This window comes from Homo sapiens, chromosome 2, assembly GCF_000001405.40.
Source record: "Homo sapiens chromosome 2, GRCh38.p14 Primary Assembly".
In the NCBI taxonomy this organism is placed as follows: domain Eukaryota; kingdom Metazoa; phylum Chordata; class Mammalia; order Primates; family Hominidae; genus Homo; species Homo sapiens.
The window spans coordinates 123,065,421-123,080,469 of NC_000002.12; the positions used below are offsets into that span (position 1 = coordinate 123,065,421).

General features: G+C 35.7%; 1 long non-coding RNA gene across 1 annotated transcript; it reads right to left on the bottom strand.

The window, feature by feature from the left end:
- Nucleotides 1-735: 735 nt before the first annotated feature.
- On the bottom strand, nt 736-8,061 carry LINC01826 (long intergenic non-protein coding RNA 1826). Its single transcript, NR_147208.1, has 3 exons — nt 7,732-8,061; nt 4,747-4,944; nt 736-786 (listed from the first exon to the last, which is right to left on the bottom strand). It is a non-coding gene; the product is annotated as a long intergenic non-protein coding RNA 1826 (long non-coding RNA).
- Between the last annotated feature and the right edge of the window lie 6,988 nt (nt 8,062-15,049).

Here is a 15,049-nt window from a genome sequence, read left to right on the forward strand (position 1 = left end):
AGAGGCAAGGAAAGATTCTCCACTGGAGTCTTCTGAGGGATGCCAACAGGTTGTTTGACTTCTCACCTTCAGAACTATGAGAGAATAAATGTATATTGTATTAAGCCACCAAATTTGTAGTAATTTATTATGTCATTCCTAGGAAACTAATACAGAATCTAAGAATGGGGCAGATATTTAAAAGAAGACAGGCCAAGATTAAAAAGCAGAATACGCTGCCACTCTCTTGATATTTATCCCGCCTTTCTTGGTCTGTTTCCTCATTTGTAAAATGAAGAAACTAACTAGGATGATATTGAAGTTGCTCTGACATGTTTTCTAATTTCCCAATGTAATGATGAGGATGATGATTTCAGTTCTTCCTCCAATATAACTTGAGTAATGCTTACTGCAATTTAAATTTCAGTTCTTGTTCTATTTTAAAGAACAAATGCATTCCGTCCTTTGTCTTATATTCAATCACATGGATGTAAGGTATCAGATTCCTGTCTGGCTCACCTATGTGTATGTGTGCTTGTATCTTTCCATTCCAATGTACAGATAACAAGTATATCCTAAATTGTATCGATTTAAGTATTTGCTAACCCAGTATCAAGGCCAATTTTATAAGTCACCATTTTCTCAAGGAAATAGATGTCCACAAATATCAGAGAAAAGTATATAAATCCCTTTGGTGAACATTCTTAGTGGCCAAACGCTCAGATTGCTGTTCATGGTACAATGATCTAACAGTGCCTGCAGGGGAACTTTCTCTTCATCTCTTGCAAAAAGGTGGCACCAACAACACTGGTAAACAAGAAGAGATATATTAAAGGCCAGAGATTACATACAAACGCAGTGATATTTCTATTCACACATAAGCATTTGTCATAAGGACACTTTTTATTTTGCTTTTTTAATTTAATTTAATTTTATTTTATTTTTTATTATACTTTAAGTTTTAGGGTACATGTGCACATTGTGCAGGTTAGTTACATATGTATACATGTGCCATGCTGGTGCGCTGCACCCACTAACTCGTCATCTAGCATTAGGTATATCTCCCAATGCTATCCCTCCCCCCTCCCCCCACCCCACCACAGTCCCCGGAGTGTGATATTCCCCTTCCTGTGTCCATGTGATCTCATTGTTCAATTCCCACCTATGAGTGAGAATATGTGGTGTTTGGTTTTTTGTTCTTGCAATAGTTTACTGAGAATGATGATTTCCAATTTCATCCATGTCCCTACAAAGGACATGAACTCATCCTTTTTTATGGCTGCATAGTATTCCATGGTGTATATGTGCCACATTTTCTTAATCCAGTCTATCATTGTTGGACATTTGGGTTGGTTCCAAGTCTTTGCTATTGTGAATAATGCTGCAATAAACATACATGTGCATGTGTCTTTATAGCAGCATGATTTATTTTATTTTGCTCTTTTTAAATGATTACCTTTCAGAGTAGAACTGAACGCTGGCCATCATTTATAGAATGACTGCATATTGAATGCTTGCTGTTTATGTGTTAATAAGTGCATCTATATGCCTATATATTGTGACTCCAACCTTTCAGAACTCATACTGAGAAATAAGAGCAATATATGAGGCACTTTAAAATTATGTTCCTCTGATTTTAACATCTGTGTTTTCTTTTAATCTATCCCACAGGCTGCTTAGTTGATTCAAGAGAAGACTATGAGTAGGGAGAAAAGTTAAAACCCAGTCCCACAGATTAATCCAATAAAGAATAGAAGAGAAAATTTAATTTCAAATTTTGTTAATCAGAATTACTTGGGGACTTGTTAACACAGAAGTCACTGAGCCCCAATTCCAGAGTTTCTGAAGTCTGGGGAAGGCTCAAGAATCTGTGTTTCTATTAAGTTCACCACTGATGCTGATGCTGCTGGTCTGAGTGAAATACATGGAGAACCACTGACAATGACCTCAGAGAACATGTGTACACTTCTGAATATGCTTGAGACCTTAAGATGTCAATATGGTAGTGGTTTTAACTTGGACAGGGTATCCAAAATGTGATATAAGTGCTAAGTCTTACCCATCCAGAAAGTAGAGTTGAGATTGTTGATAAGTTTCTATCTCAGGTAAGTGTCACGTAAGGAACTAGGGTTGGACTGAATGTGTAACAATGAGGTGAGCGCATCGACTCGAAGTCCAGGTGGGAGATATTGGGGAGGGAAGACATGCTTGAAATAAATCCAGGGGTCTGAAATGTTCTACTCCTTCTGAGTGGAGATAAGTGTGGCGCACAATCTTTTAAATATACAAAGGACAGAAACACTGCTAGAACATAAAACTGAATACTCAGTACAACAAGGGAAACATCTATAGTGGACTCATCCTGCAAATTGCAAACTTTCCTATGAGTGACCCTTACAAGGAAGCTTAACTTTCAGGGGTTTATCTTGATTTCTTTTGGTAAGAAGCTAGGGTGTAGAGTTAGAAGGTGGATTTCAAATGCAATAATTTCTCTCCTTATCAATTTGCTGGCCTTGGTCATGTTGCTTGATCTCGCCTATCTTTCAGTAATAAATAAAAACTCCCTCTGCGATATAATTTATGAATGAAATAAATTATCAAATATAGTAAGATACAAAGGTACTTTTAGAAATTTTATAGGAGTAACTGTAATTTTATTTTATTATTTAGCCATGCTTGTGCGTGAGTATTTTTAAGTACCAGGAGTTAGGGTAAGTAACTACAGCTACAACCACAGGGTGAACGTATTAGTTTTTTCTTGCTTTCTTACACTGAGAAGAGAGAAGATTAAGGACAGACATTTTGTGGTTTATTTCACCCCCATTCCCAATTTTCACAAGGAGTCAATACCATCCTTTAGTGGAGTAATAAAATCAACATGACATTCACAATTTACTAGGCAAGCTGAAGTACTTTCCTAGGGGGGTTTCAGTAATGAAATACTGTCATTCACTTCATCAATCTCAAAATCAAATTGAAGGCCTAGGGGAAAGTATCCCTGAAGAATTAACATTTTTCATGTTGCATATCTGTATAATACAATAATTTTTAAAGTAGAGGCAATTTTTTCCTGGGTGTCATAAAATAGGGAAAGAAGGTAAAATGGTAAATTGAAATGAGCCTGAAAAGTCCTGTGTTCAGCATCTTCCAATTTACATTTCTATGGTCTGTTTATAATGGTTTGGAATCCTTCACTGCAAAATAATTGGTATTTTCTTTTATAAGGTAGTTTTCTACTTCTTCTAATGATTCTCATCTTGTTAGTGATGGTTGAAAACAGGTTCCAAAACAGACGATTTCATAGCTTTATTCTTTTTCACTTTAGTGAGCCCCTTACGATTCTGCACAGGGTAAGCATTTGACACCTATCTTCCAAAATCGCAAGGCTAGCAACAGCAGACAGCAAACACAGCTCCATACTATTTCATTCAATCCTTTTGTGAAGGATTCTGAATAAATAAGGGGCTCCTTGAATGACCTGCCTTCATATTCTTCGGAGAACAGGGCAATTCTCCCTTTGTTTGAAAATACAAAACCACTGTGGACGATTTTGGAGTGTCTCATGGTAACACAGAGAGGAAAGGAGGCTGCCATTTTCTTCTTTCTAGATTTGCGCACAGTTGGTGTTTGAAGAAAGTTTCCATTTCTGAAATGTTAGTACTGACAGAGTAAAATGAAAGGGAAAAGGCACAGAGCCTGCCCTTGAGTTGCTCATAGATACAACAGAATTATTTTAGTTTACCAATGTTTCTAATATTATTTGATACTATTCTTAGGCTGAAAGATATATGTATAGACAACCCTGGAACTTTATTGAGTGCTACTTTTATTGTATGAAAGGAAGGGAAAAAACATATGTTTAAAATACAAATTATTATTGTCAGCTTTTCTCAGTTAATTTTTATGGGATGCCTAAATTGAATTGTAATCATCATTCCTTCCTATGTATTCATTATACCCTTTTCTAAAAAGGACATCGCAGTCAAAAAACTCTACCTCCCCTCCTATTTTGAAATACCAGGAGTTAGGGTAAGTAACTATAGCTACAACCATGTCATCGTGAACCATGTCATCCTCCTGCAGTCTCAGGTCAAACTCCTCATCTCTACCTTCAGAGGAATTACCTTCTACATTTAAAATAGTTATTCTTGCTCACATTTAAGTGGTAAAAATTAAGTGATAATAAGGGCCCATAATGAGAGGTAGTCCCCTTGTTCATCCATCTGTTCTTCCAGTCAGGATCCTTAGAGGAGGCCAATTTTTATTTTTGAACACTCAATAAATAGTTATTAATTTTATTATGTTTGAGGCACTTCTCCATTCACTCACTCAAAAATATTACTTGAGTCACAAATATGACAGCCCTTGTGCTAGGCACTAGTGATTTGAATTTGAAATAGACAGAAAACAGACATGGCGGTTAAAAGCTGCAGACCATGAGTTTTCAAGCAGCCGATGTGAAGGGATAGATCTCTCCCTGCTCCAATGTATTTCAGACTGGTGCTATTTTGTGCAATATAGTACCAAAAAAATGAAATAAAAAATAAAAATTACAAACCAAACACTTAATTATTATATTCAACAAACAAAACTATCACTGTCAAATTGCTAGGCAAGTTTCTAAGACCTTAGTTGCCATTTGCTCATCAAGACAGGTAACTTGAAATTTCTGGACTGAAAAAGCAGGGGAAACACATTTGAGAAGCATCTGTATAGGTTATGAGACACAAACACAGCTGGGGACCACTTTCTTCTAATTCCTCTTACCTTTTGGTATGTCTCTACCAGCACCCCTCAGGCTGCTGAGAACTGCCCTTCTCTTCAGAGGTAGCCTGGCTGGGTCATTAAAATGAGGGACGCATTCAGGTGGAGGCTTTCAGATGGGACTCAGGAAGGTCTCCTGGTGGAGCCTGGCACCATTCTGTTAGGGATTCACGGGCAATGGAAGCAGACACTTCTCATCAACTGCAAATAATATAATTTGTACCTTCATTTTTTTCTTCATGAACTTCAATAATTATACAGATTTTTAAATGAAATTCGAAAATATAACTTGCTAAAATGTTGTCTCCTTTTCCTCAGTTTGCAAATGTATACTTATATCTCTACCTTGTTTTTCTTTTAGCTACCTTCATAACATAACACACACCTATTCATGGAGATTGGACACATATATACTTAAGCCTATATTTCTTATTCCATCAATTTTATGTCTCAACTTCTTTTACACATTGGCATATATTAATATCTTAAATTATCTAAAGCCCATTCGTTCTCTACTACTACCTGTTGACTTTTGTGGGCTGCATTTTCATAATATAAGGATGTCACTATAGTCTGCTCTGTAACCATAAAGTTTTCTGTATTTTTTCTATATTTTGTTTCTAACAGATGAAAATCATTTAGTAGTGATTTATTATTAATATTATATAAATAATGTTCATATTATAGTCTAATAGATTCATGAGTCAGTACTCATGCGTTTTACAATCATCTATGGATTTTATTTTTTGTGCACTTTAGCTTTCAATGTTATTGACAAAACATCTTATAGCAAAATAATTCTCATTCTTCTCTCATCCTGGACACTTTAAAGATATTATTTTATTGTGTTATACAGTTGAAACTTGTAATATAGGGTTTATGGGTGCCAACCCCTCACATTCTAAAATCTACATATAAATTTTGACTCCCCCAAAACTTATCTACTAATAGCTTACTGTTGACTGGAAGCCTTGCCACCAATAAAATAGTCAGTTAACACATATTTTGTATGTAATCTCTATTATATACTGTATTCTTAAAGTAAGGTAGAGAAAAGAAAATGTTCTCAGGAGGATCATAAGGAAAAGAAAATACATTTACTATTGACAAAATATAAGTAGATCTTCATAAAGTTTTTCAAATTGAGTAGGCTCAGGAGGAGGAAGAAGAGGAGAGATTGGTCTTGCTGTCTCGGAGTGGCAGAGGAAGAAGGAAATCCACATATAAGTGGACTCACACAGCTCAAACACATTTTGTTTAAAACTCAATTGTATTTCCTAACAATATGTTTAAGTGATAATTTTTAAAAAATCATTTACCTTCATGCGTATTCATTATCCATTCTGTCTCAAGGATTATATCTTTTTCCAATTAAGGAAATGCTTCCTATAGTCACACAGCCATTTTTGTTATGTGTGTGTTATTATAACCACATAGGAATTATTACAGCTACATAGTGATTTTTCCTCAGTGCCTTCTTTGTTGTTTCGTCCTCTAATTTCCTATGCTGGAATCATTCCTGATCTTTGCGTCTCTTTTTTTCCCTCTCATATTCTGTTTCTTTTACATTTATTTTATTTTCCAAACTATTTTATTTGCAAGACTATTCCTTGTTCAGTGTGCTCACTGAAGTGTCCATTCTTTTAGTTTGTGTTCAGCTGAAAGACTATTCCTTGTTCAGTGTGCTCACTGAAGTGTCTATTCTTTTAGTTTGTGTTCAGCTGAAACGTTTTGACACAGATTTCCCTCCATGTGCTATTCAGTTCAATGAGTATTGACAAATGCATAATGTCATATATCTACAATTATAGTATTATACATAATAGTTCAGCCTTCCTAAAAATCCTTTGCCTGATCTAACTCTTGTTCTCTCAAATTATTCTCTGTCCTCTGGTAAAAATCTTACCTTCTTTACCTTAGCATTTTCTATTTAGTGATGACTTTCAAATACATGTTGAACCTTGTATGTTCACTTATATTATAATGAGGGAAAAGCAAGTAGGCCAAGGAGTTGCAGATATAACCCAGCATATAGGCTGATTAGCTTCGCACTAGTGGATGAGTACAGTGATCCTGGAATTGTCAGAAGAAGAATGTATTTAATCTGGATTCCAAAACCCATAGCCCATATTTCCATTTACATAGGATAGTTCAGCTACATCCTCAGCCATAATCCAACATGTTAATCAACTGGGCCTTTTGTTTCAAAATATTGTTGAAATGCGTCATCTACTGAAGGACTACCTTCCCATTAAACCTCCTGTGTGATTTTAAAAGTTTTTAATTATTTTTTGTTATCTCAATAAGATCTTAGTGGCCATGAGACGCAGTCATACGTACAAAGTCTGCTACAAGGTAAATTAAGTAATATTTTCTATACCAACACTTATGTTACTTAGTACTTCACATATGCTACCTTGCAGTATGAATATTTTTACTGCCATCTTCCATTTCCTACATGAATTAAAAAATAAAAGCTCTTATAAATCAAGATCTATGATTTATATATTAAGATTACATGTATATCATTTGGTAAAAGTAAAAAATAGGCCGGGCGCGGTGGCTCACGCCTGTAATCCCAGCACTTTGGGAGGCCGAGGCGGGTGGATCATGAGGTCAGGAGATCGAGACCATCCTGGCTAACAAGGTGAAACCCCGTCTCTACTAAAAATACAAAAAATTAGCCAGGTGTGGTGGCGGGTGCCTGTAGTCCCAGCTACTCGGGAGGCTGAGGCAGGAGAATGGCGTGAACCCGGGAAGCGGAGCTTGCAGTGAGCCGAGATTGCGCCACTGCAGTCCGCAGTCCAGCCTGGGCGACAGAGCGAGACTCCATCTCAAAAAAAAAAAATAAAAAAAAAAATAAAGTAAAAAATAAAAAGACACTAAGGGACTGTTATCAAACAATTTTGCAGTCTCTATCACTTGGAAGTATACCTTTATGTTGAATTGCCTTATAATTTTAAATAAATAATTATTGTCGTTACTTACCTACATTTTTTCAATGGGAAAGAAGGATATCATTATGATAAGTCAACTGTCAGTCTTACGTTCTGTTGTTCTTAGCGTTCAGGTACAGGATGAGTGTTTTCCTCTTTTGCTGCTTTCACACGATTTTTTCTTTCAACATTTTGACTACAGTATGTCCAGCTGAAGAGCTCGTTGCATTTCCTCCTTAGAGTTTATTGAGCTTTTTGGATGTGAAGATTAATGATATTTTTCAAAATGCATATGTTTTTAGCCATTATTTATTCAAATATATTTTTGATTTTGTCTCTTTCCTCTCCTTTTGATGCTTACATTATACATATGTTGGTGCACTTAGTGGTATTTCAAATTTCTCTGAGGCTGTGTTTATGCTTCCTCATTTGTTCTTTTTCCTGTTTTTCAGATTGCATAATCTCTATGTCTGTGTCTACAAATTCACTGATTCATGCTTCTGCCAGCTAAAACCTACTGTTCAGCCCCGCCAGTGAATGTTTCATTTTGGTTCTTGCACTTTCTACTCTAGAATTTCTGCCTGGCTCCTTCTGTTATTTCTATCTCTTTATTGCTGTTCTCTATTTTATGAGACATTGCTATCACTTTCATTTAATTCATTAAACATGGCTTCATATTGTTCTTTGAATATAGGTATCATAGCTTCTTTGACATCTTTGTCTGCTAAATCCTACATCTGGGTACTCTAAAGAAAGTTTCTAGCATGCTTTTTTCTTTCTATGTATGAGTTACATTTTCCTGTTTCTTTGTATGCCTCTTTTCTGTTAAAAATTGGACATATTAGATAACAGATTGTAGCCAATCTGGAAATCAGGTTGACCCACCAGCAGCCCATCTCTCTGTCAAGGGCTTGTTATTATTTGGTTAGTGATCTGGCTGAATTAGTTCCATGAGCTATTTTCCTCTGGCAGTGTGTGGTTTCTGATGTCACTCCTTAGAGGGCCCCACTTGGGCATTTTGTGCACATTCTGTCTGACCATCAGAGATGGCTGTGGTCTTAGCCAGCCTCTTTTTAAGTGTATCTTACTGAAGAGTCCCTTAAGCTTTTAGCTGGGCTTCCTCTTTTAGTATTGTATCCAGCTAACAGCCTCTGTTCTTTGCCAGCTGATTGCTTGTTTGTTTGTTTGTTTATTTATTTATTTATTTATTTTATGACAATGCTCTGGGGGTATAAATTGCTTCACAATATAATCCAATTAAAGTGGGCAACTGTGCATAAGAAAGGTGTTGCCTGTCTCAGAAGCTTGCTTCAATTCCAGGAAGGCTCTTCTTAGCTGTCTCTTTCTCTAGTTCTTTCTGCTTACCCTCTAGCCACGTTAATATTTTGCTTGTTGCTATCACTGTCACGGGGCTATAACCTTCTCTTATTTACTTACCACTAGGTATTCTTCAGGCATAAACTTTTCACAGTGTGTTTCAAATAAAGTCAGTTCCTTTATGGAGCAGAGATCTCCTTTCTTAAAGTATTCCTTGTCCCCTGGGAAGAATATCTCTGCCATTGCACTGGGCCTGGGGTTGGAGACAGTGGCCTGCTTCTCCAAGATGTTTATATACATATACTCTATGAATGAGGTATTAGATGGGGATAATAGCCCATGATCTTCATGGCTTGCCCCTTTCATTGTAGAACCTCTCACTTCCAAGCCGGTTGGAGCAGAGGCAAGGAATGCCCAGTATTTTTGGCCTGGAGTGTAGCTTCTGCCTTATGAATGAGGACTTCATGAGGGAGGAAACTCTGATCCTCTTGCCAGGAACAGAGCTTCTGCAACACAAGGTTGAAGGAGGATGAAAGATTTTGGCTGCCTGCCCTCTCTGGTGTCCCATAGCTCTTGGCTGGGTGCTGGGAGAAGGAGCTTGATTTTCTTGGCCGCAAACACCCACAGTAAAGTTTCCTTCACATTGAACTTGGTATGGGGGTGGCCATGGGAGCAAACCATGTTTCAAATGCTACAAAAAATATTATTGTTGTTCTATCAATATCTGGTAGATTTTTTTGAATAAACGTTTTTTAAAATTTGCTACATGCTTTTTGCAAATATTTTAGATCATTTGAATTGTTATTATTATTTTACTAATAAAAGTTTTTCACTGGGGAGAATGTCCACTGAGCTCCTTACATTGCCATTCTCAAAGTCAGCACATTTTTGACTATGTATATTTTATCTTAAGTACAGTAAGATCTCGGAAGAAATAGAAGAGATTCCTGGGTGTTTTAGTAACAATAAAATGCTTTTAAAAAGCTCAGGATCAGAGCAGGGCCTTGAACTATGAGTTAGGTTATGCTATACAAAGATGCCTACAAAATCAACACAAGTGAAAGATGTCCAGTTAAAGCACTGGATATCTGGACTTCTAAATATTTGTCTTATTGGAAATAATTTAGTTTGTCTGAAATATCTATAATATATCTAGAAGCAATACTTATATTAATCCTAGACATTTCAGGAAGAAATTAGATGTAATTATTTTTCTAGGGTATGTGCAAAATGGATATATGGTTAAAAAGTATGGAATGAATACAGCACATATTACATTCACTTTTCATGGTTGAAGAAAGTTCGCTTAAACGAAAACAGGTGCTCATGTCTGGCCACGATCCTGAGAGCTTGTGCTCTGGGTAGAGGGCACAAAAGACAGTGAGTCCCTGGGATAGAAACAGTGTTTTCTTCCATTTTGATTGCTATTTTTAAAGGGCAATCACCTATTATTTCAGATATTCAAGTTATTTCACTGTAGTTTAGTAGCTTGAGTTTGCTGTATTTCAGTCTGGCACATTCTCTTTCTACTCAGTTTGATAGATTAACTTTCAAAGATTTTTCTTCTTTAATTATGACCACTGATTTAACACATGAAAAGCTGATTTTCCTCATGGCCTCTGTCTCTTCTCTATTTTTCTGGTAGCCCAGCCTTCAACTGATATCTTTGTGACCATTAAAACTGGAAAATCTCCAATGTAATGACTATGCAGTTAATTGGATTTCAATTACTTGGGACTAACCTGGAGTTTTCAGAGTCACAACGGGACTTTCAAAAGTCCTGTTCCCTCAGGCAGTCCAGTTATTGATTCCAAAATACTTACTTCTATGGATTAAAATCAATACTAATTCTTTATCACAAACTCTGCCTCTTCTCTAACTCCTCTTGACTATTTTATGGCTTTTACTTGCCACTACTCTAGCAACAGCAACAACCTTGCTTTTTATACCCACTTTTGAGCACACTGAACATTGGAGAAATAAATTTATCCTTTTGGTAGTTCTTTTGACTGCTTTCAATAGAATTCTCTATCATGTTCTAGCCATAGCTTGTCTGAATTGATTAAAATGTGAGGTGGGGATTCGGCTACAATAACTTCTCAAAGAACAATTCTCTGTAGATTGATGACAATTGGAGACAATATTTCTTTCCACACATTAAGATGCTGGAGAGAGATAGGACTTTAGGTGCGCATAAGTCCTAAGTGATCAGAAACAAAGCTTTAAGACTAAATGGTTCTGAAGTATACATGTTAATATGCAATATTAACATTTATTTTTGTTTCTGGGAAAAATTTTGTCATATCTCAGACAGTAAGGCCAAGGCAATGACTAGTTTGATTATCTTTGTTATGTTAACTATATTACTCTAAGTTCCACCTGATAAACAACTTTCTCCAATAATTACCCTATAAACAGTCTTCTCCCAAATTATTTCTGAGCTGTTTATTTGCCTGGATTTCTGCATGGCACTATGCTCTCTTCATGCTAGAATACAAGGTAACTGTTCTGCTTGAAGGTTTTCTGGGAAAACCTTGGTCCAGACTCTGTAATTTTATGTTATCTGTATTTCCTGCTGAAGGCCTTGATTTTTGATCATTTGGCAGATTCAGTTTAAAATTCAAGTCACAGCACTCTATAGGCTTCCAAAACATAAAGATGGTATGAACACTGGACTAGACCAACGAATTTTATTTTTACCAACAAGTATTTTTTTCCAGTTACAGAAATAGGTGCATGGAATACAAATAAATAAATAAAAAGTATATAAATCTATAATTGCCCTTGGAAGAAGTTGACTTCCAAATCCTAACCCTAATCTTGACAAAGCATCAGTGAGACTTTGCCAGCAAACAAGCTACTAGTTTATCCTGTAACTGAGCTCAGGGGATTAGCAAAGTAGTAAATCCATCATGTGTGTGTGACAGGGTCCAGCTCTGTTTCCCAGGCTGGAGTACAGAGGTACAATCACAGCTCACTGCAGTTTCTACTTTCTGGGCTCAAGCGATCCTCCCCATTCAGCTTCTCAAGGAGCTGTGACTACAGGCACACACCACCACACCCAGCTAATTTTTATTATTTTTAGTAGGTTTTGCTGTGTAGCCCAGGCTGTTCTGGAACTCCTGGGCTCAAGCGATCCTCCTCAGATCTCTCCCAAAGTGCTGAGATTATAGAGGTGATCCATTGCACCCCACCAAATTTGTTTGTTAATATCCTGGAGAGTATTCCTAATCTCCTGCTGCAACCATTCACAACAGGATATGGAAGATAATGTGCCCCCTACACTTGCCAGAAGAGACAAGTCTCATATTTAGTCTCTACTAGGGCTTTAATTCAGCCGTTCTAAGAAGTTCTGCCTAAAATCACTTTTAACCTCTCTTCTTGGGATCCCTGGCTACACATGGAGGATGATTTACTTCTTTAGTTTCTTGTAAGGTAGAAAATCTTTTAAATCACTTAGAATCAATTTCCTCTGGTTAATCAAATAATTAAATGTCTCTCAAGCTGGCCTTAATTCCCTCTTCTCCAATCTTTATCTGACTCATATTGCTAGCATTGAGTAGGCAAAGGAGAAGGGCTGAGTGAAGGGTCATTCTCCAACCAAAAACAATACACCAACCTATTAAAAACCTATAGCTAAACTCAATCACACAGTTACATTTTAAGTTACTGCATGCCAAAATTTCAAATTAAGTTATAAACACATTGCATCAACCACCATTACATATAGGACCCCTGGGGTTCAACAACATTAAGAAATGGTCTGGTGACCAAAGGAATACTGTAGCTCCAAAACACTGTTTGCTTTGAAGCCCTGTTCAGGGATCACTAACATGCACAACGGTAAATGTTAAACAGATAACTGTTGATGAGAATGGGGCCTGTCATTAATATATCCATAAAGAAAGGACATGTATCCATAAAGAAAGGACAGGATATATATGAATTGAGGCAATTAAACTGAGATGCATCAACCATTCGTTTATTTTTGTTCAAGATCTTGGAACTTTTTATTCCATCTATTAAATATGCCTATTTAGTGTCACATGTGGCTGGTAATAGTTTGTCACTTAAAGTTATTTTGATTAATCTATAGTTTTAAATTGTTTTTATCCTCAGTTTTACATTTTGTTTAAGATCCACAAGAGTTCAGTGGTTAAAGATGGGGAAGCATTAGTAATATTAAATGTAAGAAATTAGTGATTAGCATAAAGTTGGTAATAATTATTTTAATGTGCCTCAAGATGTTCTATGAGTACAATAGACTCATTTATTTGATCAGATTTGTTGGCTACCTCAGGATGATCCTAGTACTATGGAAAATTGTGTTAAAAAAAGGACATATAGAGATAATTACATCTATCTTTTTAATGAGAAAACAATTATCCACATCCATAATATGTTATTTCTAAGTGCTACAAACCTCAATCAGAAAATATATTTTTATAATTTATTTAAAAATAGTTAAAGAACTCAGAAAATGAAAGCAGTTTTTGCCTGTCAAATTAAGGTTCAATCTATGTTTTAACATGAGCTTGACTTTGCCAAGCAAAATAGAATTTTATCTTAAATGTATGTCTTCATAGTGCATGCTCACAGAAAAATAATTTAAAGTAGTACTTACGATTAAACATCATGTGCCATATTTTATATAAGAGAAGACGTATTTATTATTTGCATTAAGAAAATAAATATTTTATTATTTTGAAGTTTATATAATTACTAATAATTTATTTACCTTATATATAATTTATTTATTGAACAAACATATATATGTGTGTGTATATACATACATCATAATAGTATAACTAAGTGACAGACTATTTTCAATGCTTTAAAATTTATTTTGTGTGTTTTCCTATTTCTCAAAAAAATTTCAACTTTTATTTTAAATTTCGGGGTACATATGCATATTTGTTACATGGTATGCTGTGTGATGCTGAGATTGGGATATGAATGACCCCATCACCCAAGTCGTAGCATAGTACCTGACAGTTTTGTAAACTTTGCCTTCCTCCTTACTTCCCCCTTCTAGTGGTCCCAAATTATTGTTGCCATCTTTATGTGCACTAGTACTCAATGTTTAGCTACCACTTATAAGTGAGAACATGGGTATTTGGTCTTCTGTTTCTGTGTTAGTTTGCTTAGGAAAATGGCCTCCAGCTGCATTCATGTTGCTAAAAAGAACATGATTTCACTCTTTTTGATGGCTGTGTAGTATTCCATGATGTATATGTACAGTATTTCCTTTATCCAATCCACTGTTGATGGGTAGCTACACTGATCCCATGATTTTCACTATCATAAGTGCTGCTGCAATAAACATATGAATGCAGCTGTCTTTTCGTTAGAATGTTTTATTTTCTTTTGGATATATAACTAGTAATGGAATTTCTGAGTTGAATGGTAGATCTGTTTTAGATTCTTTGAAAAATCTTCAAACTGCTTTTCACTGTGTGTATGTGTTCTCTTTTCTACACAGCCTCATTAGCATCTGTTGTTTTTTGACTTCTAATAATAACCATTTTGACTGGTGTGAGATGATATCTCATTGTAGTTTTGATTTGCATTTCTCTGATGATTGGTGATATGGAGTATTTTTTCATGTTTTTTTGGCCAATTGTATGTCTTCTTTTGAGAAGTGCCTGTTGATGTATTTTGCCCACATTTTAATAAGATTATATGTTTTTTTCTTGTTGATTTCTTTAAGTTCTTTATAGATCCTGGATATTAGACATTTGTCTATGCATAGTTGGTGAATATTTTCACCCGTAATGTGGGTTGTCTGTTTACTCTGTTTATACTTCTTTTATGTACAGAAGCTCTTTAGTTTAATTAAATTCTACTTGATAGTTTTTGTTTTTGTTGCAACTTCTTTTGAGAACTTAATCATAAATTATTTCCCAAGTTTGATGCCCAGAATTGTGTTTTCTACATTTCCTTCTAAGTTTGTAATAGTTTGAGGGCTTTCATTTAAACTTTAACCTACTTGAGGTAATTTTTGTATGTAACGAAAGGGAAAGGTAAGAGCCCAGTTTCATTCTTTTGCATAT